This window comes from Homo sapiens, chromosome 1, assembly GCF_000001405.40.
Source record: "Homo sapiens chromosome 1, GRCh38.p14 Primary Assembly".
Classification (NCBI taxonomy): domain Eukaryota; kingdom Metazoa; phylum Chordata; class Mammalia; order Primates; family Hominidae; genus Homo; species Homo sapiens.
Genome location: NC_000001.11, coordinates 153,385,828 through 153,412,998, shown reverse-complemented (window position 1 = coordinate 153,412,998; position 27,171 = coordinate 153,385,828). Strand labels below are relative to the sequence as shown.

At 47.4% G+C, this 27,171-nt stretch overlaps 1 protein-coding gene and 1 pseudogene across 5 annotated transcripts in view, besides 1 other annotated feature; both read left to right on the top strand.

The window, feature by feature from the left end:
* S100A8 (S100 calcium binding protein A8) overlaps window positions 1-22,967 on the top strand; it is a 32,552-nt gene extending 9,585 nt beyond the window's left edge. The window contains exons 1-3 of one of the 5 annotated variants that reach the window (NM_001319197.1): window positions 21,811-21,958; window positions 22,428-22,604; window positions 22,756-22,967. In NM_001319197.1, the coding sequence (NP_001306126.1) occupies window positions 21,926-21,958; window positions 22,428-22,604; window positions 22,756-22,896 (351 nt within the window). In that variant the 5' untranslated portion in view covers window positions 21,811-21,925 and the 3' untranslated portion in view covers window positions 22,897-22,967. Of the gene's footprint in view, window positions 1-21,810; window positions 21,959-22,022; window positions 22,143-22,424; window positions 22,605-22,755 lie in introns of those variants that run through there. The other 4 variants (NM_001319196.1, NM_002964.5, NM_001319201.2 and 1 more) reach the window with 4 other exon arrangements.
* S100A15A (S100 calcium binding protein A15A (pseudogene)) lies at window positions 16,228-16,408 on the top strand (annotated as a pseudogene).
* Window positions 22,719-22,919: a silencer, noted in NCBI's record as "peak414 fragment used in MPRA reporter construct". NCBI's record gives its function as "represses an SCP1 promoter by STARR-seq MPRAs in K562 erythroleukemia cells {active_cell/tissue: K562}" and the evidence as "EXISTENCE:reporter gene assay evidence [ECO:0000049][PMID:32103011]".

The window sequence follows — 27,171 nt, the reverse complement described above, 5'->3', positions numbered from 1 at the left end:
GCTGCCCCAACCTCACGACAGGCCCTGATGTGTGATGTTCCCCTTCTTGTGTCCAGGTGTTCTCATTGTTCAATTCCCACCTATGAGTGAGAACATGTGATGTTTGGTTTTCTATCCTTGCGATAGTCTGCTGAGAATGATGGTTTCCAGCTTCATCCGTGTCCCTACAAAGGACATGAACTCATCCTTTTTTATGGCTGCATAGTATTCCATGGTGTATATGTGCCACATTTTCTTAATCCAGTCTATCATTGATGGACATTTGGGTTGGTTCCAAGTCTTTGCTATTGTGAATAGTGCTGCAATAAACATACGTGTGCATGTGTCTTTATAGCAGCATGATTTATAATCCCTTGGGTATATACCCAGTAATATGATGGCTGGGTCATATAATGGTATTTCTAGTTCTAGATCCTTGAGGAATCGCCACACTGTCTTCCACAATGGTTGAACTAGTTTACAGTCCCACCAACAGTGTAAAACTGTTCCTATTTCTCCACATCCTCCCCAGCATCTGTTGTTTCCTGACTTTTTAATGATCGCCATTCTAACTGGTGTGAGATGGTATCTCATTGTAGTTTTGATTTGCATTTCTCTGATGGCCAGTGATGAGCATTTTTTCATGTGTCTTTTGGCTGCATAAATGTCATCTTTTGAGAAGTGTCTGTTCATATCCTTTGCCCACTTTTTGATGGGGTTGTTTGTTTTTTTCTTGTAAATTTGTTTGAGTTCATTGTAGATTCTGGATATTAGCCCTTCGTCAGATGAGTAGGTTGCAAAAATTTTCTCCCATTCTGTAGGTTGCCTGTTCACTCTGATGGTAGTTTCTTTTGCTATGCAGAAGCTCTTTAGTTTAATTAGATCCCATTTGTCAATTTTGGCTTTTGTTGCCATTGCTTTTGGTGTTTTAGACATGAAGTCTTTGCCCATGCCTATGTCCTGAATGGTATTGCCTAGGTTTCCTTCTAGGGTTTCTATGGTTTTAGGTCTAACATTTAAGTCTTTAATCCATCTTGATTTAATTTTTGTGTAAGGTGTAAGGAAGGGATCCAGTTTCAGCTTTCTACATATGGGTTAGCCAGTTTTCCCAGCACCATTTATTAAATAGGGAATCCTTTCCCCATTTCTTGTTTTTGTCAGGTTTGTCAAAGATCAGATGGTTGTAGTTGTGTGGTATTATTTCTGAGGGCTCTGTTCTGTTACATTGCTCTATACCTCTGTTTTGGTACCAGTACCATGCTGTTTTGATTACTGTAGCCTTGTAGTATAGTTTGAAGTCAGGTAGTGTGATGCCTCCCACTTTGTTCTTTTGGCTTAGGATTGTCTTGGCAATGAGGGCTCTTTTTTGGTTCCATATGAATTTTAAAGTAGTTTTTTCCCAATTCTGTGAAGAAAGTCATTGGTAGCTTGATGGGGATGGCATTGAATCTACAAATTACCTTGGGCAGTATGGCCATTTTCACAATATTGATTCTTCCTATCCATGAGCATGGAATGTTCTTCCATTTGTTTGTGTCCTCTCTTATTTCGTTGAGCAGTGGTTTGTAGTTCTCCTTGAAGAGGTTGTTCGCATCCCTTGTAAGTTGGATTCCTAGGTATTTTATTCTCTTTGAAGCAATTGTGAATGGGAGTTCACTCATGATTTGGCTCTGTGTTTGTCTGTTATTGTTGTATAAGAATGCTTGTGATTTTTGTACATTGATTTTGTATCCTGAGACTTTGCTGAAGTTGCTTATCAGCTTAAGGAGATTTTGGGCTGAGGCGATGGGATTTTCTAGATATACAATCATGTCATCTGCAAACAGGGACAATTTGACTTCCTCTTTTCCTAATTGAATACCCTTTATTTCTTTCTCCTGCCTGATTGCCCTGGCCAGAACTTCCAACACTATGTTGAATAGGAGTAGTGAGAGAGGGCATCCCTGTCTTGCACCAGTTTTCAAAGGGAATGCTTCCAGTTTTTGCCCATTTAGTATGATACTGGCTGTGGGTTTGTCATAAATAGCTCTTATTATTTTGAGATGTGTCCCATCAATACCGAATTTATTGAGAGTTTTTAGCATGAAGGGCTGTTGAATTTTGTCAAAGGCCTTTTCTGCATCTATTGAGATAATCATGTGGATTTTATCTTTGGTTCTGTTTATATGACGGATTACATTTAATGATTTGCGTATGTTGAATCCTTGCATCCCAGGGATTAAGCCCACTTGATCACGGTGGATAAGCTTTTTGATGTGCTGCTGGATTTGGTTTGCCAGTATTTTATTGAGGATTTTCCCACTGATATTCATCAGGGATATTGGTCTAATATTCTCTTTTTTTTTGTTGTGTCTCTGCCAGGCTTTGGTATCAGGATGATGCTGGCCTCATAAAATGAGTTAGGGAGGATTCCCTCTTTTTCTATTGATTGGAATAGTTTCAGAAGGAATGGTACCATTTCCTCTTTGTAGCTCTGGTAGAATTCGGTTGTGAATTCATCTGGTCTTGGACTTTTTTTGGTTGGTAGGCTATTAATTATTGCCTCAATTTCAGAACCTGTTATTGGTCTATTCAGGAATTCAACTTTTTCTGGGTTTAGTCTTGGGAGGGTGTATGTGTCCAGGAATTTATGCATTTCTTCTAGATTTTCTAGCTTATTTGCATAGAAGTGTTTACAGTATTCTCTAATGGTAGTTTGTCTTTCTGTGGGATCGGTGGTGATATCCCCTTTGTCATTTTTTATTGCGTCTATTTGATTCTTCTCTCTTTTCTTCTTTATTAGTCTTGCTAGTGGTCTATCAATTTTGTTAATCTTTTCAAAAAACCAGCTCCTGGATTCATTGATTTTTTGAAGGGTTTTTTGTGTCTCTATCTCCTTCAGTTCTGCTCTGATCTTAGTTATTTCTTGCCTTCTGCTAGCTTTTGAATGTGTTTGCTCTTGCTTCTCTAGTTCTTTTAATTGTGATGTTAGGGTGTCAATTTTAGATCTTTCCTGCTTTCACCTGTGGGCATTTAGTGCTATAAATTTCCCTCTACAGACTGCTTTGAATGTGTCCCAGAGATTCTGGTATGTTGTGTCTTTGTTCATATTGGTTTCAAAGAGCATCTTTATTTCTGCCTTCATTTCATTATGTACCCAGTAGTCATTCAGGAGGAGGTTGTTCAGTTTCCATGTAGTTGAGTGGTTTTGAGTGAGATTCTTAATCCTGAGTTCTAGTTTGATTGCACTGTGGTCTGAGAGACAGTTTGTTATAACTTCTGTTCTTTTACATTTGCTGAGGAGTGCTTTACTTGCAACTATGTGGTAATTTTTGGAATAAATGTGATGGAATAAATGTGACGTGGTGCTGAGAAGAATGCATATTCTGTTGATGTGGGGTGGAGAGTTCTGTAGATGTCTATTAGGTCTGCTTGGTGCAGAGCTGGATATCCTTGTTAACTTTCTGTCTTATTGATCTGTCTAATGTTGACAGTGGGGTATTAAAGTCTCCCATTATTATTGTGTGGGAGTCTAAGTCTCTTTGTAGGTCTCTATGGACTTGCTTTATGAATCTGGGTGTTCCTGTATTGGGTGCATATATATTTAGGATAGTTAGCTCTTCTTGTTGAATTGACCCCTTTACCACTATGTAATGGCCTTCTTTGTCGCGTCTGTTCTTTGTTGGTTTAAAGTCTGTTTTATCAGAGACTAGGATTGCAAGCACTGCTTTTTTTTGCTTTCCTTTTGCTTGGTAGGTCTTCCTTCATCCCTTTATTTTGAGCCTATGTGTATCTCTCCACCTGAGATAGGTCTCCTGAATACAGCACACTGATGGGTCTTGACTCTTTATCCAATTTGCCAGTCTGTGTCTTTTAATTGGAGCATTTAGCCCATTTACATTTAAGGTTAATATTGTTATGTGTGAATTTGATCCTGTCATTATGATGTTAGCTGGTTATTTTGCTCGTTAGTTGATGCAGTTTCTTCCTAGCATCAATGGTCTTTACAGTTTGGCATGTTTTTGTAGTGGCTGGTAACGGTTGTTCCTTTCCATGTTTAGTGCTTCCTTCAGGAGCTCTTGTAAGGCAGGCCTGGTGGTGACAAAATCTCTCAGCATTTGCTTGTCTGTAAAGGATTTTATTTCTCCTCCACTTATGAAGCTTAATTTGGCTGGATATGAAATTCTGGGTTGAAAATTCTTTTCTTTAAGAATGTTGAATATTGGCCCCGACTCTCTTCTGGCTTGTAGAGTTTCTGCCAAGAGATCCTCTGTTAGTGTGATGGGCTTCCCTTTGTGGGTACCCTGAGCTTTCTCTCTGGCTGCCCTTAAGATTTTTTCCTTCATTTCAACTTTGGTGAATCTGACAATTATGTGTCTTGTAGTTGCTCTTTTCGAGGAGTATCTTTGTGGCCCTCTCTGTATTTCCTGAATTTGAATGTTAGCCTGCCTTGCTAGATTGGGGAAGTTCTCCTGGATAATATCCTGCAGACTGTTTTCCAGCTTGGTTCCATTCTCCTCCTCACTTTCATGTACACCAAGCAGACTTAGATTTGGTCTTTTCACATAGTCCCATATTTCTTGGAGGCTTTGTCCATTTCTTTTTACTCTTTTTTCTCTAAACTTCTCTTCTCACTTCATTTCATTCATTTGATCTGCAATCACTGCTACCCTTTCTTCCTGTTGATCAAATTGGCTACTGAAGCTTGTGCATGAGTCATGTAGTTCTCGTGCCATGGTTTTCAGCTCCATCAGGTCATTTAAGGTCTTCTCTATGCTGTCTATTCTAGTTAGCCATTCATTTAATCTTTTTTTCAAAGTTTTTAGCTTCTTTGCGATGGGTTTGAACAAACTCCTTTAGCTCGGAGAAGTTTGTTATTACTGATCATCTGAAGCCTTCTTCTCTCAACTCGTCAAAGTCATTCTCCATCCAACTTTGTTCCGTTGCTGGTGAGGAGCTGCGTTCCTTTGGAGGAGAAGAGGTGCTCTGATTTTTAGAGTTTTCAGCTTTTCTGCTCTGGCTTCTCCCCATCTTTGTGGTTTTATCTACCTTTGGTCTTTTATGATGGTGACGTACAGATGGAGTTTTGGCGTGGATGTCCTTTCTGTTTGTTAGTTTTCCTTCTAACAGTCAGGACCCTCAGCTGCAGGTCTGTTGGAATTTGCTGGAGGTCCACTCCAGACCCTGTTTGCCTGGGTGTCACCAGCGGAGGCTGCAGAACAGCAAATATTGCAGAATGGCAAATGTTGGTTCCTGATTGTTCCTCTGGAAGCTTTGTCTCAGAGGGGCACCTGGCTGTATGAGGTGTCAGTTGGCCCCTGCTGGGAGGTACCTCCCAGTTAGGCTGCTTGGGGGTCAAGGACCCACTTGAGGAGGCAGTCTGTCAGTTCTCAGATCTCAAACTCCGTGCTTGGAGAACCACTACTCTCTTCAAAGCTGTCAAACAGGGACGCTTAAGCCTGCAGAAGTTTCTGCTGCCTTTTGTTCAGCTATGCCCTGCCCACAGAGGTGGAGTCTACCGAGGCAGGCAGACCTCCTTTAGCTGTGGTGGGCTCCACCCAGTTCGCGCTTCCTGGCTGCTTTGTTTACCTACTCAAGCCTCAGAAATGGCGGGCACCCTGCCCCCAGCCTCACTGCCGCCGTGCAGTTTGATATCACACTGCTGTGCTAGCAGTGAGCGAGGCTCTGTGAGTGTGGGACTGTCCGAGCCAGGCACGGGATATGATCTCCTGGTGTGCTGTTTGCTAAGACCACTGAAAAAGCACAGTATTAGGGTGGGAGTGACCTGATTTTCCAGGTGCCGTCTGTCACGGCTTCCCTTGGCTATGAAAAGTATTCCCTGGCCCCTTGTGCTTCCTGGGTGAGGTGATGCTCACCCTGCTTCAGCTCATGCTCTGTGGGCTGCATCCACTGTATTGCTCCCACTGTCTGACAAGCCCCAGTGAGATGAACCCGGTACCTCAGTTGGAAATGCAGAAATCACCTGTCTTCTGCTTCGCTGGGAGCTGTAGACTGGAGCTGTTCCTATTCGGCCATCTTGGAACCTCTCCAAAAATATCAAACATATTTGAGACATCCAAAAAACTGATCATTTGTTTTTGCTAAAATCAAAATCTTAGCAAATTAGCTTTAATAGGGGCCTTATCTTTTGCACCTGCTCATCAGGTTGAACCCTGTGAGCCTTTCCCCTGTGTCATGTCTGGAACAAACACTCTCCATAAACCCACCCCATCCTATCACACATCCAACCTCCCAGCCACTGCTGATCCCCCAGGAGAGCTCACAACAGGCTGATTGTGAACAGGAATTTGGCTGGTTGATATCTTCATCTCCTCTATCGTTTTGGGGAGCTCGCCTCTCCCCAGCCTGAAGTAGAAGCAACATACTCCTGGGTCTCTAGAAGATCTCAAGTTGCTGGGGGAAGAGGACAGAAAGCAATTTGTTCTTTTTGCTGTATTTTATCCATTCATTTATGCTGTGAGTGCTGACTCTGTTCTGGGTGTGCAGGTGTCAGGGTGGCAGGGAGATGGAGTGGATGTGGACCATGCTTTGAGCAATGCTCTGGCCCCAGGAGAGAACTCCAATATAAGGCACTGGGTGGTGAGAGAGTAGAGTGGGACAGAGCCCGGAAGCCCCCAGGTCCCCAGGCAGTTCAGTGGTCACTTTCTCTGTGAAGCCTTCTCCAGGCAGAGCCATCATCCCCATGTCCCTGCATGTCTCAGTGACAGCCCTGGCCACACATATGCTATGTTTGCTGCCGCCCAGCCATGTCTTATATTGTGCCCCCAGCCTCCAGTGCAGAGAACTCCATAAACATTGGCCAAACTAGCAAGTGAGGCAGGTGTCTTCAAAAAGGTTCAGATAAAGTGTGTGGGAATTTGGAAGAGGAGAAATCACTTTTCAGGTGGGGGAACCAGGGGAAGCTTTGTAGGGGCATCCTTTCAATAGGCCATAGAGCACTTCCAGGAGCCACGGTGAGAGGGACAGGGCAGAGGGAGCCACGGGAATGTTCCAAGACAGCCAGCTGTTCTGTTTGGGGTCCTTCTGGGTGGTGCTGGCCAGCTGCATCTCTGGACTCGTGCAGCAGTTGGGGGAGCGGGACAGAGAGACAGAGAGAGAGTTCTGCAGCATTCACAAGAGGTTATTAGGACTCAGTTCTGCTGTGAGCCATCCACACTGGAGGATGAGAACACCCAGCTGCAGCCCAGAGCCTGTGGTCCCACTGTTAGGTTTTGAAGGGAAGGCAAGGGTTAAAAAAAGACACAGAGAGAGTTGGTGGCTCTATGGAAATGCAGGTTTTATGTCCAGCACAAGACCTGAGGAGGTGGGGGACAAGCTTAATGCCAGAGCCCCCTGCCGCTTACAGGCTGGGGTAATTTATAGGTCTAGGTGGGGGTCTGGGCAGTATGGCTAGCTCGCCGGGAGGATATTGATAAGATGTTCCTGTGATCAGGCGGTTTGGACCTTTTTCCAGCGGGATGTGATAGGCTGTTTCTTGGACCTTTGCCCCGCAGGATATGATGGGGATGTTCCTTCAGTTGCGCCTTTGCCCAGCAGGGTATGATAAGGATGCTCTTGTGCCTTGCGGTCAGGTGGTTAGGCAGGATGTTTCTCACGGCCTGAATCCACATGGAATGTTTCACTCTGACCAGGGTCCGCAAAATGGCAGGGGGCTTACAAAATGGTGCAGTTTGGACTAACACCCACCATCCTGTCGAATGGGTTTGCTGGGAGGATTTACTGTCAATTCTGTTAGCCTGATAAGGGAGGTTGCTTTCTCGGAGGCCGCATACACAGACAGTGCTAGGAAGTGACCCAAGCGTACCCTGAGAAATGTATCTGTTCAACCAAATTTCAAGTTGGCAATGATCATTCCTCATCTCGCCCAATTTTAAGACGAGGCTGGGCCGTGTAGGTAAAACTGGCAAGCTGGAGAAAGCAGTGCGGGGTGGGGGGGACTCCAGGAAGGCTCCTTGGCCAAGGAGGACTGTAGGATTCTGACTTACACTGTAAGGGCTGTTCCTGTTACAGTTGGCCCCAGTCAGAGGCCCAGGACAAAACTCTGGCCCTGAGTGCAGAGAATTGGTTTTCTGTTTCCCAAGCTTCCACACGGTGGCGCCACCGAGCACCCACCTCGCCCTGGTTGTCGCCGGAGGCAGTACCACGTGGCTGGGTCCTTCGTGGTTCCCGCCCTTCTGTAGGTTGTGAGTCCCACGTCGGGCACCAATCTTGCACCTGTTAAAAAAAGAGATCTTCACCAAAAGCTTCTGAAAGGCAGAGGGCTTTTCTTACTTAATTTGTATTCTTTTCTCTCTCCAATGCTTACCAGAGGACACTGCATAAAATAGTATATTGGGGACACAATTGTTAATCAAGTGGTAGAAACAGGAAGAGATAAAAATAATTAAATTTTTAGTAATGGTGGGTTAAGTAAATCTTGATGCCTATACACATGGAATCCCTGTGATGATACGAAATGGACATTTGGTCTTTGTCCCTGTTCCTGACACCGAGCGTCTGAAATCCTTGGAATCTCCTGAATGACAGGGGAGAGGGAGCATCTTTTGTTATTCATAACAATCCCCTTCCAGTCATGCTGAGTGTGTGCTAATGAGGTGACTCTTGGTGGACCCCTAGATAGCTTCAGGATGGGGCTGGTTGCCAGAGGAAGCAACCATGTGATTAGAGGGCTGGAGCTTTCAGCCCCACACTGGGCCTCCACAGAGCGGCTGGGGAAGGACTTCAATCACCAGTGGCCAATTATTTAATCAACTATGCCTAAATGAAGTGACTGCCATAGAAACCCCAAACGATGGGGTTCAGAGAACTGTAGGGCTGCTGAGCAGGTGGGGTGCCGGAAGGGTGGGCTCCTGGAGTGGGCCTGGGAGCTCCATGCTGCCCCTCATACATGGCCCTGTGTGTCTCTTCCACGTGGCTTTTCCTGAGTTGTACTCTTTGTAATAAACCAGTAATCATGAGTAAAGTGCCTCCCTGAGTCCTGTGAACTCTTGTAGCAGATTATCTAACCTGAGGAGGGGGTTTGTAGGAACCTCCAATTTTAGCCAGTCAGTCAGAAGTATGGGCGGTCAGGTGCTGCGATTGGCATCTGCAGTGGGGGCAGTGTTGTGGGGCTGAGCCTTCACCTTGTGGGGTCTGTGCTAACTCTTGGTAGTTAGGATCAGAACGGAATTGCACGATACCCCGATGGTGTTCAGAGTGTTGGAGAATTGGTTGGTGTGGGGATTTTAAAAAAAGGAAATATAACCCCCACACATTTGGCGTCAAAAGTGTTGTTAGTCAGAATGGTTCTGGAATTCCATATAATGTAGCTATTTGGAATCAATCACTCAAAAATATTTAAGAACTGGGGAGATGTTTTAAACATAGTCCTAATTGAAAAAGCAGATCATAAAACAGCTGGGAAAGGGCAGGGCCGTGGCCCACAGGGTGGACGTGGAGTGGGGGTGGGGAGGGGGTTAATGTGACATGATTGCTCCACATGAGACAAGGCCACGGAACTCAGGAAACAAAGCTTGTTTTGAGCAAGAGTCGTGTCAGATTTCGACAGGAGGTAGAGCAGAGAGAAGATATCTTTACATAGGTGAAGCTAACAGTTCATGATAAAGTGTTCTCAGCCTTCACATTCACAGTCAATTGATTTTCAACAAGCCCGCCAAGCCAATTCAATGGAGAAAGAATAGTCTTTCCAACACATGATGCTGGGACAAGTGGACAGCCACATGCAAAATAATGAAGCTGGACCCCTTCCTTCCTTCATACACACAAATTAACTCAGAATAGGTCACAGCCCTACACATAAGAGCTAAAACTAAAACTCTTAGAAGAAAATATAGAAGTAAATCTTCAAGACTGAGGTCTTGAATATCTTTGCATATGCTACTGAGGCTTTATGACTTTACTTTCCACAGTTAGACCTACAATCCACTTGGAATTGTCATTTTGTCTGCTTGTGTGGTCTAGTTTCATGAGCATGAGCATCCAGTTGATCCAGTAAAATGTATTGAAAAGCTTGTGCTCAGCAGTGCCACTTTTGTCACAGAATAAATATACCATACGTGTGTGTCTTTTTCTCAGACCTCTATTTAGTTCTGTTGATCTATGTGACTGTCCTTGAACCAGCCAGGCAGTATCTTAGTTACCGGAGCTGTTATGATAAATCTTAACATCTAGTACTGTAGATCCTCCCATGTCTTTTCTTTTTCATGATTCCCTTGGCTATTCTTGGCCTGTCTATATACTTTTTACAGTTAACTTGTCAATTTCTACAAAAATTCCAGCAAGGACTTTGGGACTGGGATTGCACTGAATCTATAGGTTACGTTTGGGAGAACTATCAGCTTTACAATAGCATGTAAAGCTGCTATGAACATGGCATATCCCTTACTAAAAACTTTTAGTGGCTTCCCATCCTGCTTAAAGTCCAAATTTTGCAAAGTCCTCGTTGGCTTGTCCTCTGCCTGCCCCTCAGACCTCATCTCCTGTCTTTCTGGGCTCCATTTACACCACTCCAGCCCTTCTTTCTGCCCCTCTGTCAGCCCAGGCTGGCTCCTACCTGAGCACCTCTGTTCCAGCTCTTTCCTCTAACCATGGGGCCCTTCTCCTGCTCTCCCTAAGGTTGGATTTCCTGTTATTCGGGGACAAGGTAATGTAGTGGTTGAGAACAGGTATGTGGGGCCCATGGGCCTGGGTTAGAAATGTGCCTCTGCATTACTAGCTGTGTCCCCAGCATGCTCCTGTAATTGTCATTCCTTGGGCTTTTTCAGCAATTGTTAAGAAGATGAGATGAATGGGTGGATGTAAAGCCCATGGAGCAGTGCTCAGCAAAGAGGAAGAACTTAATACTGTTAATCATCTTCTCACTCTCCAGCAGCCTCCTGGTCCTACAGAAGCAGCCTAGGGACTCCCTATGCTCAAATCCTATTCTTTTTCTCTACACGGCAATAATGTACCCTTTCTTTCTCTTTATCACATTTTCTGTGAGGATTCTAATGCATCTAGCAGCTCCCCCTTCAAGCACAGCCCATCTAACACACATTTCAGATACTCTTGAGGCTGTTGACTGGGATATCAGGTTGCTCTAATCCTAAAGATAAAAAAGGTCTGGAAAAAAGAAAATAGATATACACTGGTAAGAACTGGCAAAAATCCCTAAATATTCCATCAGTATAACCCGATTCATCGTCTCAAGTACCATATGAGATTTCTTTAATTTTTAAGGTAATTACTTGATCCTCTTCACCACCACCTCACCGCCCTCTTAGTCAGAAATTGAATATTATCCTGCTTGAAGTATTTCCAATTCTTGAGGTGTCTAAAACCCTGGGTGCGGCCGAAGCGGGGATGGGGGTGCTTCAGGGCCAGTTTCGGGTAACCTCCTTTCTCAATTTCACCAGAAAGCGCTACTCCTTTGCTGTACTGGCTTCTGGATGTCACGGGACATTGTTTTCAGTGTCTGGTCTGCACACTGGAAAGACATGAAGACTGTGTTTGTCAAGATCACAATCTTAGTCCTGGCCATGGGTGGTTGGGTTGTGACATGGGAGATGCATGCTTGGCACCATGTTTATGGTTCTTTTCTAAGTACAGTAACCTGAAGTTTTGGCCAAATGTCTGTCTCCACCTACAGACTATGAGTTTCTGGAAGGCAGAATGTTATTCAATTCATTTCCGCCCCCTTTCTCCACAGCACCTAGCACAGGTGCACCTAGCACCTAACACGTGGCAAAATTCTGATAAACATTAAGGAAGAGTTGACATTAAAATGTATAAATAAAAGTAATTTAATGTCTAACAATAATGGATTCATAAGACAAATTTTGATAAATGCAAACAGATGATCGCTATGTACTCGCCAAAAATCAGGCTAGCATTGATTAAGCATGTGAGATGTCCACAGCATAACATTAAGCAAAAAGTGCAGTTACAGCGCAGCTGTGCAAGGGATCATCACTGGGTATTGGCATGGCGTAGGGGGCTGTTTTGTCCCAGAGTGAACAAAAGGTAGGGTGAAAAGGAGTGCAGTCTGCCCCCCATCCCCAGCCATAGGTCAGAAATGAAGTTTCTTCTAAACAACAAGCTGTTATCCAGCAATTGTCCAACAGTAAGCCATATGGGTATACCAAATTTGTTAATTAGATAGTTTTAAGGTTTTGCTTTTATTTTTGTTTCTTGGTTATGGATATTGCAATGGTGGACATTTTCCTGATGATTTTTAAAATATCTGTTTAATTAATTGTTTTGGGAGAAATTGCCAGGGTAATGATGGCTGAACCAAAGAATTCGATACAATTTTTTGTAGCTCTAGCTTGGCAATGCTGAGAAATTCAAGCCATGTTTTTAGTTTAGAAACAGGAAAGTGTATTGATGAACCACTTGTTTGCTGGGGAAATCTTTATGTTGAGTAGATGAAGGCTCACCCAGCAAACTGGAAAAGCTGTTGGCTTCGGTATCTACCTATGATTTTCTCTCCAGCCTTCAGAGATGCATAGATGGAGTCTCTGGTTTGATGACCTGCCCTTTGGCGCCCCATTCTGGAAGATTCAGTCATCAGCCTGTGCAGGCCCTCCCAAGGGAGCTGTGTGGGGTGAAATGGGGCCAAGTAGAAGGGGCCGGCTGGGAGAAGTCTTGTGTTGGGGTGAGTTGGCAGAGGGGACCCCACCTGTCACTCACTCAGGGGCCCAGGTAGCATCTGTAGGGATGTCGAGCCTGAAGGTCTGGCCCCTCTCAGAGTAGGGTGACTTCCACATTGCAGTCGGTGATTTACTAGTAAACAAATCTGGTTCTACCACTTCTCTTTCACCTCCCGTCCATCACCCAACTGATTTAAAAAATCCTCTATTAGCTTCCTCTCTTGTTTGTGTATCACAGTCTTGCCCTGGCCATGGGTAGTGGGGGTTGTGAGGTGGGAGATGCGTGTTTGGCACCAAGTCTGTGGTGCTTTTCTAAGTACAGTACCTTGGAGTTTTGGCTAGATGTCTGCCTCCACTGACAGACTATGAGCTGGATAGGATAAAGTCACAGTTGTAGCTTGGCACAGGGTCTTCCGGTCTTGTCTCCCTCCTGCCTCTCCAGCCTTGTTTCTTCTAACTTCTCATTGTGCACCCTGTGGACTCCATCCCCTGAGGGGGCCGCGCTCTTTTACAGCCCCGGGCCTTTGCCTGTGCCATATCCTCTGTCTAGAGTGCCTGGTTCTCCTTTCCTCCTTGCAACTCAAAATGTCTCTTCAAGTCGCAGCTGAAATATCGCCTCCCTAAGGAAGTCCCCCCCAACTCCCCAGGTGGAAGGTGTCCCTTTCTGGGTGCCTGGAGCACCTGTCTGTGTCACTCAGTTGGCTTCCATGTGCCTAGTGACAGTGTGTGACTGTCCCCTCACATGTCCCCACCCTGTGAGCTGGCCCTGTATCTGATGCATATTGCCTAGCAGAAGGCCTGGCACACTGTAGGTACTCAAGAATATTCGTTGAATGAATGAAGGAATGAATGTGCTTCATGACAGTGGAGTTTGGGGGTTCACTAATGGAGGGAGGACACCCCAGGGAGATGTAGTTAAGTGTGTGTCTGACCCCACCCAAGCCCTGGAGCTGAGAGGACAAGCTCTGAGGCAGGGAGACAGATAATGGGACCTTTTGTGATTCTTAGATGCTTCAGATCCTGCTCCAAGGGATGTGGGCCCCTGAAACTGGTTGAGTTAATCTTAGCAAGTTAAGTGTTGTGATGTCACCTCAGGAATGCAATTAAGGCTCAGTCCTGCTCCTGAAGGACCTGTGAAGCATCACAACACTGGCTGCCATAATTGGAGGCATTGAGGATGGGTGGGATGTGGGGCTTGGTGGTGGGTTCGCGGCTCACACAGGTGCCTCCTGCCTGAGCGTTGGGGAATCTCTGGGATCAACTACAGGCTGGATCTGTGGATTTGGATACTCACCCCAACAGTGACAGGTCAGTGCCTCTTCCAAGAGAATTGTGGGGGTGAGGGTTTGTGTTGGATCTGTGCAGGTTCTAAAAAGCAGAGGTGGGGACAGTTTACCTGTTTGGAGAACACGTACAGTGTGGATGGGCATCCCAACAGCACAATCGTGGCCCAAGGCGGGTGTAGGACTGGAACTGAAAGCATGCCTTTGGGCTTGTTCCCAAAGACATGGGTTTGAACGAAGCTCCAAGTGGATCATTGTGTGATCTTGGGGAAATTACTTATCCTCTCTGGGTTTCATTTCCCCCTTAGGAAACTGGGGGTAAATATGCTTGCTTTCTATGGCCCACGTGAGGGTTACGTGGGATACGGGATAATTTGTATAAAGTGCTTACCTGGTGCCTGGCTGGCTCCATGAGCGGTGGAAGCAGCAGTTGTCCTGATTCCTATCTGTAGAGTCCAGGGAGCACTGCTGATCTGACAGGGTGATCTTGTCTCATCTCCAGAGGAAGTGGGGAGTGGGAGGTCACAGGCATCAGAGCACCAGAGAGGAGCTGCACAGAGGCTCTGGGAGGGCCATGGGAATGTGAGGGCTGAAGGGATGGTGCTGATGGCATGGGGACTCCCTCTGGAGAGGGTGGCACAGTGTGGTGGCAGCAGGAAGAGAGGTGGGATCCATGCCCGGGGGAAGGATAGCAGGGACTGCGGTGGCCCCCCTAACCAGGGTGGGAGTAGGGTGGGGTGGGGTTAGGAAACATTACTTCCCCTTCCACCTCTTATCCCCAGAGTCTCTCAGACCTGGACAGGCCCAGCACCCAAATCCGGGCTTAGACAGCCCTCAGGCCCTGCCCATCTTCTTTGTCATCAAACGTAGACCCATGATTACTGGGCTCCTTGGGGCCTGCAAGGGTGTCTGTGGGGTGCTGCTGTCTATCCATGCCCTGGGGTGTCTGGACTGTCATCTCCAGAGGACTTCTGGTCCATCCTGACTCAAGGCCACTCCATCCAGGAAAAGGCTCTTCTTCAGTCACTTCCCATCTCCCCAGCCTTGCCTCTGCTTACTGGAGTGTTACTCTGAGGGTTGTAGAGAGGGACGGAGTGAGGGGGAAGTGATTGTTGGTGGTCCTGTTTCCAGGAAACCTTGTCCTTTCCAGGGCAAACTGTACCAGGATGGCCCGGACCCTGCACTCATGGGGGTCACAGCCCCGCCTGGGTACGGGGCCCTTGCGGGGATAGAACCTGGACACAGAAGGCGGCCCTGGGGAAGGTGGGCCGAGGTGAGGGAAGCTGGGAGAGCCTGTCCCGGGCAGGAAGCCTCCAGCTCCTCTCTGGGTAACCAGCTTTGTGGAACAGTTAAGATCACAGGAACAGGTGGTGGGGGTGGGCCCTGAGGGGAGAGAGAGGCTGCAAACCTGTCCACAGCTGCTTCCCCCAGATGGTTTCTAGGGCTTCACACTGGTCCTCATGCCCACCAGCCAAATCTTGCTGAAAGCTGCCTCACCCGCCCTGCCCAGTGCTCCCGATGCCCACCTTGTCTCTTCCCACTCTGTCCCCGTGCTGTGCTCTGGCCCCTGACTTTCTTCATGCTGTTCCTTCCACCTCAAATGCCTCTTTCCTCTCCCCTACCATCCCCATTTCTCAGCCCTCAGGGTCACATCTGGGCCGCCTGCCTCGGAACAACCTGGACAGCTCCAGGGCTCCTGGCTTTGTCCTTTCCCTTGTTCTGCGCTCTATGTGGGCCCAGCACCCAGGGGTTCAGAGGTTCGCATGCTGACCATCTGCCTGGGAATTGCTCCTGATGCAGGCAAATGCACAGGCATGCAAACCTCTGACCCCCTGGGCACCAGCCTTGCAGCAGCGCTGGGGATGCAGACTCGAGGGCCAGGTCGACTCTGCTCTTGGGGAGCTCCCAGTGTGGAGGAGGAAGGCACTGCCCTGCCTTGAGGAAGCCCTGGCTGGGGTGTTTCTCCAGAGGAGCCTCCAGTTCAGCTGTGAAGAGAAGTATAAACAGCTACTGCCAGTGGATGCGAAGTCGTCTGGGATGCTAGTGCTTCTCGGGCACTGCAGACAGTAAACCATCAATGGTGCCCAGTTTACCTCCTTTGTCTGCACACATGCAGCTAGCTCCAGGCTCGGTTATGGGGGCACCAACTAGGGGCACCAACTATGCCCCTGTCTCTTTGCAGCATTCAGAGTCCTAGTCACTGACGATTGGAGTGAGGAGTCATTTCCTTGCAGGCAAGGCCAGGCCACAGTTACCCCATCCCCTCCCAGTGGGCAGTGGGGAGCCTGGCAGGTGGGCTGTATGCCTGGGTGGGTTGTTGATGCTCTGCCCACTTCTCAGGGCCGGAAGGAGCCATACTATATCACAGAGTTGTTCCAGGCCGCAGACAAGAACAAGGACAACCAGATCTGCTTCGATGAGTTCCTCTACATCTTGGGCAAGCTGGTGAAGGACTACCACCTGCACTACCACCAGCAGCTGTGTGCCCGCTACTGTGCCCAACACAGCCTCTACTAGAGGGAGCTCAGGCAGCCTCCTGCCCACCGGTGCCGGACCCAGGAGGAGGTGTGACCTTGATATCAGGAGCTGAATGGAGAACACAGCTGTGTGTGTCTGTGTGTGTCCCTGTGTGTGTGTGCACATGTGTGTACATGTCTGTGGAAAGGACATCAATGTGAGAGAGAATAAAGCAATTTCATACATATTTCCAAGGATTTGTCAGTATATGGTTCTGGGCTTCACCTACAATCCAGAAAAAGAAGTTTCGGTCCCAAGCTGGGAAAGATCCATTTTAGATCAACGAAATAGCCCTTGCCTCCAGGGAGCCCCTGTCTGAGGGGAAGAAACAGCTTCTATCTCCAGGGAGCCCCTTTTTGAGGGGGAGACACAGCTCCTATCTCCAGGGAGTCCCTGTCTGAGGAGGAGACACAGCTTATTCCTCTAGGGAGTTTATATTGGATGGGAGAGACACCACCTCTGATTCCAGGGGGCCCTATCTGATAGGGAGACAGTCCCCACCCGCAGTGTTCAGCCTGAGAAGGAAGAGTCTCCTCTCTTGGGGAGATAGCGAGGCCTCGCTTGTGGTCACTCACTCACCCACCACACAGGTGGTAGCACAGGGGTGAGGGTAGGGGTGAACTAACATGCCGCTCCGACAGCATCCCTGCTCTGAAAGAGAGCCCCAAGAATCAGTGAACAAGGGTGGGGCTGAGCCTGGGAAGAGACCAGGATCGGGAGGCAGGTGCATTTCTAGCAGAGGGAACAACAGTAGAAAATCATAAAGTATGTCTAGGAGCAACAGAAATTTTGCTTGGAAATTAGTGTTCATGGAGAAAACAGTAGGAAGTCAGCTTGAATGGGTGGGTTAGGACCAGAGTCTGGAAGTCCCTGAAAACTGAGCATTGGAATTTGGACTTTATCCTTTTGGTAAGGGATCCTTAGTTGTTAAGTGTGGGGAAGGGGCGAGGGCCCTGGGACCAGCTCTGTGCTTTAGGAAACTAGTGGTAGGGGTTTGGGGTGGAGGAAGACAGATCAGACCTGCACAGCCTGGCTAGAGGCTGTGACGAGGAGGTAAACAGCTTCATGGGGACGGAAGGGAGGGAGGCGGCATCAGAAAAGGCAGAACATCAAGGTCCAGACCTGGGCGCAGACTGAGGGAGAGGAGGATCCAGAATGAGGTGGAGGTTTCAGGTGCTGGCGATTGGCATGGGACCTCGGTGCCTGGGTGGGAGCCAGTCTGCAGGGAATATTGTGTGCTGGGTTTGCACATGCTGAGTCAGACACTGACAGGAGCTGAGCCAACAATCCAGCCTGGCAGAACCACAGACACATGTTAAGGGAAGAGCAATGAGTAGAACCTGGGTGACAGTCAACCCAGGAAGGCTTCCTGAGGGAGAGAAGGGTTGGGTCTGTTTTTTTCTACAACATGATGATGGATGTGAGGGTTACTCCTGACCCAGGGCTATTCATGAACCACTGATCTGAGTCCTCCGGTATCCCTGACCCCACCCACCTGAGACCTGTCCCTGCCCTTGCTCTGTTTCTTTTTCCTTTTCCTCTCCCCTGGGACTCTAGGGATCTAATGCAGAATCCCTTAGGGAGGGTCTCCTCTGCCTTCAGGAAATGCCAGAGCCCACTTTAGAGGGTTGTCTTTTCTGAGGGTTGGTCTGGGAACCGGTGTCCTGAGCTTACTGAGATAGAAATCATGGATTTTGAAAGAGTGTTGGGGGGTGATATACCACCTGCGCACAGGACTGCAGGGTCACTTAAGAAACTTGGTCTGGTTCCCTCCCCACCTGGTCCTTTGCGCCAAACATGGTGGATTGTCCCTGGAGCTGAGCTGGAGACCTTGTTTCTCATCAGTCAGGCTCTGGGGCAGAATTTGCCCCTGCTGCTCCGGGCCTGGCCTGCTGTCCCTCCCACACTTGCCATCAGCTTAGTTTGCCTTTCAGGACCTAGCTGGGCCCTCCATTCCTTGGGAGATGTCTGCACCCCATTCCCCTTTGCATTCTTTCCTGTGGAAGGGCATCTTCTGCCACACTGTGCTTGTTTTGTACTCTCCGCCGAGACAGGACCTCAGTGTCCCCATAAACGCTCAGCAGGTGTTTGGGGAAGGAATGCAGAATTGGGGCCTGTGGGGCTGGAATTGATGACCTAGATCTGTGCTCCTTCCTGCAGGCCCCTGGCTGTGTCTAGAGGCATGAAGACCATCGCCTGAGTTACTTTGGCCACTCTTCTTGCAGGCCCAGGGGAGAAATACCTGTCTCACCTGAGAAGTGCTGGGCTCCACAGGCATTGAGTACGAAGCAGGGGCACCCAGCCTGAGCCCTCCCTGCCCTCTCCTGCCCCCTTCTGGGGGTTTCTTCACCAGCTCTGCCTGCTCTGTCCTCATTTCCTTGGCCTCAGGGATGGACCTGTCAGGTCTGTTGGGACACACCCAGGGACTGAGCCCTTTCCTGTAAACATGACCAGGTTCCGCTCCCTCTAGGTTGCCCCATGTCCGCTAGGCTGCTTACAGCCTCTGCCTTTCCCCAGATGTGCTTACCCAAGTCCTGATACCTTTTGCTGCAAGGTCAGTTCAGCCTGGCTCCTGCTGTCCCCAAAGCACCCAAGGCTGTCCAGGGGCGCAGTTTCTGGGGAGGGGGCGACATTTCACGATCTTGCTGGTCAGCCTGTACATGATGTGGGAAGGAGGTCACCACTCAGGACTCCCTCACTGGACCAGGGGAAGGACCTGAAGTAATGCCCTGTGCCTCAGTTTCCCCATCTGTCAAATAGGGATAATTATACTTGTAATGTCCACATCACTAGGTTGCTGGGAATATCAAATGAGTCAGTGGATGCAAAATACTTTGAAAATATGATATGGTGCTTTGAGGCAGGTGCTGTTATGCTGGTCACATAGGATAGTACGTGGTGAATAATAGGTATTAACCAAGGGTGGATCCTTGGTTGAAAACTTGTCATGTCAGAAATGGCGTTGTTTTCCTAGATGGAGCTTGATTCATCTTTTGTCAAGGAAGTCAGACTGCATTTGTTTGATGAATTTATACCCTGCCTTCTTCCAGAAATGATTTAAGATGGCTGATTGTGATAAAGAGAATTTCTGCCTTGGATAAGGGAAGGGTCAAACTTAATTTTGTATTCATTTATCCCTCAATAAGTATTAATTGAACATGTAGTAGCTGCCAGGCCCTAGGGTTGTGAAAAGAAATGTGATTTCTTTTCTAAATGGTCTCCTGGTCCCAAAGAAAAGACAGACAATAAACAAGTGAATCATAACATAGCAGGGCAAATGCTGTGATGGGTAAGGATTTGGGTAGCATGGAGGAGAGAAGAACTAATTCTGCCTTGATGGGGTGAGGGCAGGTGGATCAGGGATGGACTTGGAGCAGATGATGCCTGAGCTGGATCAGGAATGGTGAGGAGGACATTACAGGGACAAAAGGCATTACAGGCAGGAATAGGAAGTGGATGCTGTCACATCACATCATGAGTCACTCAATCATTTGATACGCTGAATTACTATGTCTCTCTGTGGGGCTTAGTTTCCTCATCTGTACAATGGGCATTATAATAGTACATACGTCATTGGATTAGTGTGAGAATTAAATGATCAATGCAAATAAAGCAGCACTTAGAATAGTTCCCGGACATGGGAAAAGCTCAGTGAGTGTGAACTAGTATTTTGTCATGATTTGCTCTGATCAGTGATTGTGGCTGCTGTTATTGTGTGTGCTGGGCACTGTGCTGGGTCCCCAATGGCTCACATCCAGAGAGAGCTGGATTTATTTTGGAGGGTGAAAGACTCCCTGCTATGTTTATGCAATGGCTCATGCCCTTGTGCAATGCAGAGGGACCCCAAGCAGCCTCCATCTCCCAGGGCACGGTGGATCCCCAGCTTCACAGAACAGGAGAGCTGTGGAGGAGTGTGGGCAGCAGGGTAGGAATGGATTTAGCCCTCGGCAACAACACATGTCCCCACAAAACATTTTCTTCATCCATTCATGTGTTGAGGGACACTTGGGTTGCTTCCACCTTTTGGCTCTTGTAAATAATGCTGCTATGAACATGAATGTACAAACATCTGTTTGAATCCCTGCATTCAATTCTTTTGCATATATACCCAGGAGCAGAATGATGGATCATATGGTAATTCTGTGTTTATTTATTTGAGGAACAAACTTGCCGTTTTCCATAACAGCTGCACTATTTTACATTCCCACTAACAGTGCATTAGGCTTCCAATTCTCTATGCCCTCACCAACACTTGTTTTCTGGGTTTTAAAAGAAGTAGTAGTCATCCTTGTAGGTGTCAGGTGGTATCTCATTGTCGTTTTGCTTCATGTTTTCCTAAAGATTAGTAATTTTCATATGCTTATTGACCATTTGTATATCTTCTTCGGAGAAGTGTCTATTTGAGTCTTTTCCCCAATTTTTGATTGGTTTGTTTGTTTTTTGTTGTTGAGTTGTAGGGATTCTTTTATATTCTGGATATTAATCCCTTATCAGATATTTGTTTTACAAATATTTTCTTTGTAACAACAGAAACACACCACAGTCTTCAAGGTTGGAAGCCAGTTAATCTGAGTAGCATTTTGTTAGTGGTGGGGAGAGGATTTGTTCCTCCTGAAATCCTGGGGAATTGGCCACCTCCTCTTCTCCTCTTAGGCATGAAGCGCGTCTGGCTTCTCCAAAGAACTCTTCCCCTCCACTACCTCAGAGTTAGCTTCCTCTCTTCAGCCAGTGATCCTGGGGTCCCAGACACAATAATTAACCAAGAGAGGGTGAAAGGCTCCCTGCTGTGTTTATGCAATGGCTCAGGCCCTTGTGAAGTGCCGAGGGACCCCAAGCAGCCTCCATCTCCCAGGGCATGGTCCATCCCCAGCTTCACAGAACAGGAAAGCTGTGGAGGAGTGTGGGCAGCAGGGTAGGAATGGATATAGCCCTTGGCAACAACACATTTCCCCACAAAGCACCCACCCAAAAGAACAACAACGATAGTTTTAGTTTTTAGTAATGAGAACAATAGTTCTCATGACTAAAAGCCATCAGCCAGGACACGTGTTCTCAACCCTTTTGCGGTCTTTGGACCCTTTGAAACTCTGACAGAAGCCATGGAGGAATGTTCTCACTGAGTGCATGCACTCAAAATGATGCATTCAACTTCAATTCAGTTTCAGGGATGTATGGCCTGACCACCAATGCAGGGGATTAGCAATCGCAATAGTGGAGAGGGCATGGGAGTGGGAATCTGGCTGGATCAAGCAAGTGGATGCCAGCAGCCCAGAAAAAGAGCCCCCCTACCTGCTTTTTCCTTCTGGGCACTATTGCCCAGCAAATGCCTTCCTCTTTCCGCTTCTCCTACCTCCCCACCCAAAATTTTCATTCTGCACAGTGATTGCCACATTCACCTGGTTGAGAAACCAGAGACTGTAGCAACTCTGGCAGGGAGAAGCTGTCTCTGATGGCCTGAAGCTGTGGGCAGCTGGCCAAGCCTAACCGCTATAAAAAGGAGCTGCCTCTCAGCCCTGCATGTCTCTTGTCAGCTGTCTTTCAGAAGACCTGGTAAGTGGGACTGTCTGGGTTGGCCCCGCACTTTGGGCTTCTCTTGGGGAGGGTCAGGGAAGTGGAGCAGCCTTCCTGAGAGAGGAGAGAGAAAGCTCAGGGAGGTCTGGAGCAAAGATACTCCTGGAGGTGGGGAGTGAGGCAGGGATAAGGAAGGAGAGTATCCTCCAGCACCTTCCAGTGGGTAAGGGCACATTGTCTCCTAGGCTGGACTTTTCTTGAGCAGAGGGTGGGGTGGTAAGGAAAGTCTACGGGCCCCGTGTGTGTGCACATGTCTCTGTGTGAATGGACCCTTCCCCTTCCCACACGTGTATCCCTATCATCCCACCCTTCCCACCAGAGCCATAGCCATCTGCTGGTTTGGTTATTTGGAGAGTGCAGGCCAGGACAAGGCCATCGCTTGGGGCATGAATCCTCTGCGTACTGCCCTGGCCAGATGCAAATTCCCTGCCATGGGATTCCCCAGAAGGTTCTGTTTTTCAGGTGGGGCAAGTCCGTGGGCATCATGTTGACCGAGCTGGAGAAAGCCTTGAACTCTATCATCGACGTCTACCACAAGTACTCCCTGATAAAGGGGAATTTCCATGCCGTCTACAGGGATGACCTGAAGAAATTGCTAGAGACCGAGTGTCCTCAGTATATCAGGGTGAGGAGGGGCTGGGTGTGGCGGGGGCTCTCTGCCTGGTCCTGGGGCTGCCCTGGGCCAGCGGTCCTCCCTGCCACCCTTCATAGATGGCTATGCCTCGGCTCTCTCTGAGATCTTTAAACTCTGGCTTCTTCCTCCTCAATCTTGACAGAAAAAGGGTGCAGACGTCTGGTTCAAAGAGTTGGATATCAACACTGATGGTGCAGTTAACTTCCAGGAGTTCCTCATTCTGGTGATAAAGATGGGCGTGGCAGCCCACAAAAAAAGCCATGAAGAAAGCCACAAAGAGTAGCTGAGTTACTGGGCCCAGAGGCTGGGCCCCTGGACATGTACCTGCAGAATAATAAAGTCATCAATACCTCATGCCTCTCTCTTATGCTTTTGTGGAATGAGGTTCCTCGGTGTGGAGGGAGGGTTGGAAAACCCAAAGGAAGAAAAAGAAATCTATGTTATCCCACCCTACCTCTCACAAGCCTTTCCTGCTTTACCCCTCACCTGGCCTCTGCCCCACATTCCCTTCCAGCCCCTCCATCTTGAGCCATTGGATTTGAGGCTTAAGGATTCCAAAAAGTCCATGACACTATAGCTGATGATTTTACTAGTGGTTCTGAAATGGGTCGGGGATTTGGGAACAGGGTGGTAGTATAAGAACAACTGATACTGTTCTCTAAGCTAAATTTTAGCTTCCAGCTAAATGTCTTAGATGTGGCTCTTGGGAAATTAGAGTGATAGCTACATAGAAGTGTGTGGGTGTGTGTGTGTGTGTCTGTGTGTGTGTGTGTGAGAGAGAGACAGACAGAAAGAGAGCAAGAGAGGGAAGGGGGGAGAGGCTGATTGTGTGTGTGGTGTGATGTAGGTGGACAATGTTCAGAGTCCTCCATTAACAGGATAATCCTCACACCTGTCCACATACCTGTAGTTTGTCCTTGGGGATTTTGAAAATTTTTCCTCCCTCTCCACTCCCAAACTCCCAACTCAATTAAATGATAAAGGAATAGGCAAATAGGAAAATAAATTAGTAAAACTTAAGTCAAAGAATAGGTTATTCATACGCTGCCCTATGGGATTCTATGCTTTGGTGATCAGAAAATTATCTAAAAAATACTTCCCAAGGGCTGGTACAAGGGGAAGGCCAGAAGACGAGTGGTTCTTCTCTGAGGTGGACATTAAAAAAAGAAGAAAATGAAGGGGAACCTTTTGACAAGAATGTCACCCCAAACTGGATTTTCATGCTGTGGTGTGGGGAATTTTCTGTTGTCCTCACTTAGGTGCTGGGGCAGTGGTGTTAGTGATGGGTAAAAAGGTAGGAAGCTGTCACCAGAATCACTAAACCAGGGTTCTTAACTTGTCTGTCTATACATCTCTGAAATTGGGTTGAAGTTGTGTGCATCATTTTGAGTGACGCACTGAGAACATTCCTCCACGGCTTCCATCAGAGTCTCGAAAAGGCCCAACACCTCAAAAAGGTTAAGAACACTTGTCCTGCTTACTGGTTTTTAGTAACAAATGGCAGAGTATTTCTCTCTGTCTCTCTCTCTTTTTTTTTTTTTTTTTTTGAGACACAGGGTCTTGCTCTGTCACGTGGACTAGAGTACAATGGCATGATCATGGCTCACTGTAGCCTCGAACACCTGGGCTCAAGTAATCCTCCCACCTCAGCCTCTTTAGTAGCTGGGACTACAGGCATGAGCCACTGCCCTTGGCTAATTTTTAAATTATTTTTTTGTAGAGATGGAAACTTGCTATGTTGCCCAGGCTAGTCTCAAACTCCTGGACTCAAGCGATCCTCCTACCTTGGCCTCCCAAAGTGCTGAGATTACAGGTGTGATCCACACCACACCTGGCCAAAGATTGGAGTATTTTTATTGCTATTGTTGTGCTGGGTGGGTGGGTGGGTGTATGCTTTGTGGGGACGTGTGTTGTTGCCAAGGGCTAAATCAGTTCCTACCCTGCTGCCCACAGTCCTCCACAGCTTTCCTGCTCTGTGAAGCTAAGGATACACCCCGGCCTGGAAGATGGAAGCTGCTTGGTGTCCCTCTGCACCGCACAAGGGCCCCAGCCATTGCCTAAGTACAGTATACAGTGGCTGAACAAAAGACCTTATTTCAATGGAAAATATTTTCCTGTTTATTCCTCCACTAGGGAACCAGAACAATTTTGATTGGGTCCAGAACCCAGCCCATTTTCTGCCCTCCTGCCTAGGGGAATTCAGTCTAAATTCAAATGGGCTGAAGAGGGGAGAAAAAGCTACCAGTACTTATGGTGGGGTATGGTGGGGTCTGTGCACGTGTGTGTGTATGTCAGGGCGGGAGTGCAACCTATCCCAGTGCTTTTGATTCCCCTTGGAAGTGCACTGTTGGACTTGCTGTCAATTGATTCTTTGCGGGGCGAGTTACTAAATACAGCAGGGAGCCTTCCACCCTCTCTGGGATAATTACTGTGCTTGGAACCCCAGGATCATGGGCTGAAGAGAGGAAGCTAACTCTGGGATAGTGGAGGGGAGGGGTTCTTTGGAGAAGCTAGACATGCTTCATGCTCAAGAGGAGAAGAGGAGGTAACCAATTCCCTAGGATTTCAGGAGGAGCAAACCCTTTTCCTACCATTAGCAAAATGCCACTCAGATTAACTGGTTTCCAGTGCTGAAGATTACTCAGTTCAGGTCACTGGGCTTTTTCTTGTAGTAGGCCTTAATCATATAAAATATAAATGAGCAGGGAAAGGTAATAGTTTAAGCCCTTATTCACCAATATTTTTAATTACCAGTCAATTTTATGTGTTATCAGCTAACATATTAGTGAAAATGGTTGGCAGCCAGCTGAAAGTTAAGATTGGCATCTAAGATGGGATGGGAAAATTTAGTCATCAGAATGTGGAGATGGGCTTCTGCTGGGGCAAGGAGGAAGGCCTAGGCATTAAATTACTTTCTTCTCAGTTTTGCTGAAGGATATCTATCCATCCTCCCAAGCCAGTGCTTCTGCTTAAGTCAGGAGTGTGGAATACACTCCGCATTGCAGAAACGGAGATTATGGAGCTCTGAGAGACACCACAGTGATCTTGCTATAGTTTTCTCCAATATATAGTGCAAAGGTGAGCAGCTGACCTGAATGTGGCCCAGGCTAAAAAAGGTGGGAAAGGTTCCAGGGTTCACCAAGCCACATCTCAGGTCAACTCAACATTTAGGGGAACTCACAAGAGAAAAGATAGTAACAGGAGTACAAAAAAGGAGCGAGTACCCTGATTCTGCCTTTCAGCTATCCACATTGGTGGTGGCAGTGGTGGTGGTGGGGTGTGTGTGTGTGTCAGGGTGGTGAGGGGCAACCTATCCCAGCGCCTTTGATTCCCCTTGAAAGTGCACTATTGGACTTGCTGTCAATGGATTCTTTTGGGGAGAGTTACTATTCTCAGTTGTCTGCCATTACTTGGAAGTCCAATAAGTCTTCTTTTTCTGAGCCTACCAGAAGAGGAAGGTGGCCCACGGTGCCCTTTGGAGTTTCACCATAAGTGATGGGTACTGGTTGTGAAGAATTGGGTCGACAGTTGATTCTTGAGTGCACAGTTGGGCAGGGGAGGTGGCCCAGCTGTCACTGGCCATCTGGAGAAGAGAAGTGAGAGAGGCAGGCCTTGGAAGCTTCCCAGAGGACGCAGGCTTGGAGATGATGATTTACAAACAAGACCGTGCCCATTACCGAAACCACACTGACTGGGCAGAATCAGACAGGACTTGTGGCCCAGAGCAAGATGACTTTGTTTCCTGTTTCCCCAGCTGCAAAAGAAGAACAAGGGAGTGGGAAGTTTAGAAATAAGTAGTTTAGCAGGAAATCGCATGCAACATTTGAGCCCACAAAGGAGTGCTTGGCTCACCAATTGAAGCAGATCTGGCAACTATGATTTCTGGGTCCTATAAGGATGACCTGTTTGAAGTCTTGCTTTTCCTTCCAAGTTCTTCGCCCAAGTGTCCTGACTTCAGGTGTGTTCCTGGTGGTTGTGACAAAAGTCTTAAAGGGCATGGAGAGAATCTGGACTTGGGCAGTCGGTCTACAGTGGCTGAGCAAAAGGCCTTATTCCAATGGAAAAGATTTTCCTGTTTATCCCTCCACTTGGGAACCAGAACAATTTTGATTGGGTCCAGAACCCAGCCCATTTTCTGCCCTCCTGCCTGGGGGAATTCAGTCTAAATTGAAATGGGCTGAAGAGGGGAGGGAAAGCTACCAACACTTACTGGGCTCCAGCTATGTGTCAGTGTGAAAGAAAAAAAATCATCTCAAACCTGGAAAAAGGCAAACTGATGATTGCTTATATTTTTGATCTCATGCTAGAGTCTGTCTGAAAAAAAGAAGGTCCTTGCTACTAGACCTCATCTGACACTTTTGAGAAAAGTGATCGGCAAAGCATGTTTGATAGCAATTCATAACAGATGATGTAGACAGTTTACCTCTGATGGATAGGGCAATATGGCTTTATAGGCTGGTCAAGACATTAAACCCAAAACTGTTATGGTTTGTTTTTGTCACCCTATGAAAAGTCAAAAGACTTGTATCTAGTCTTGTGTCTAAATTAAGAATCTTAG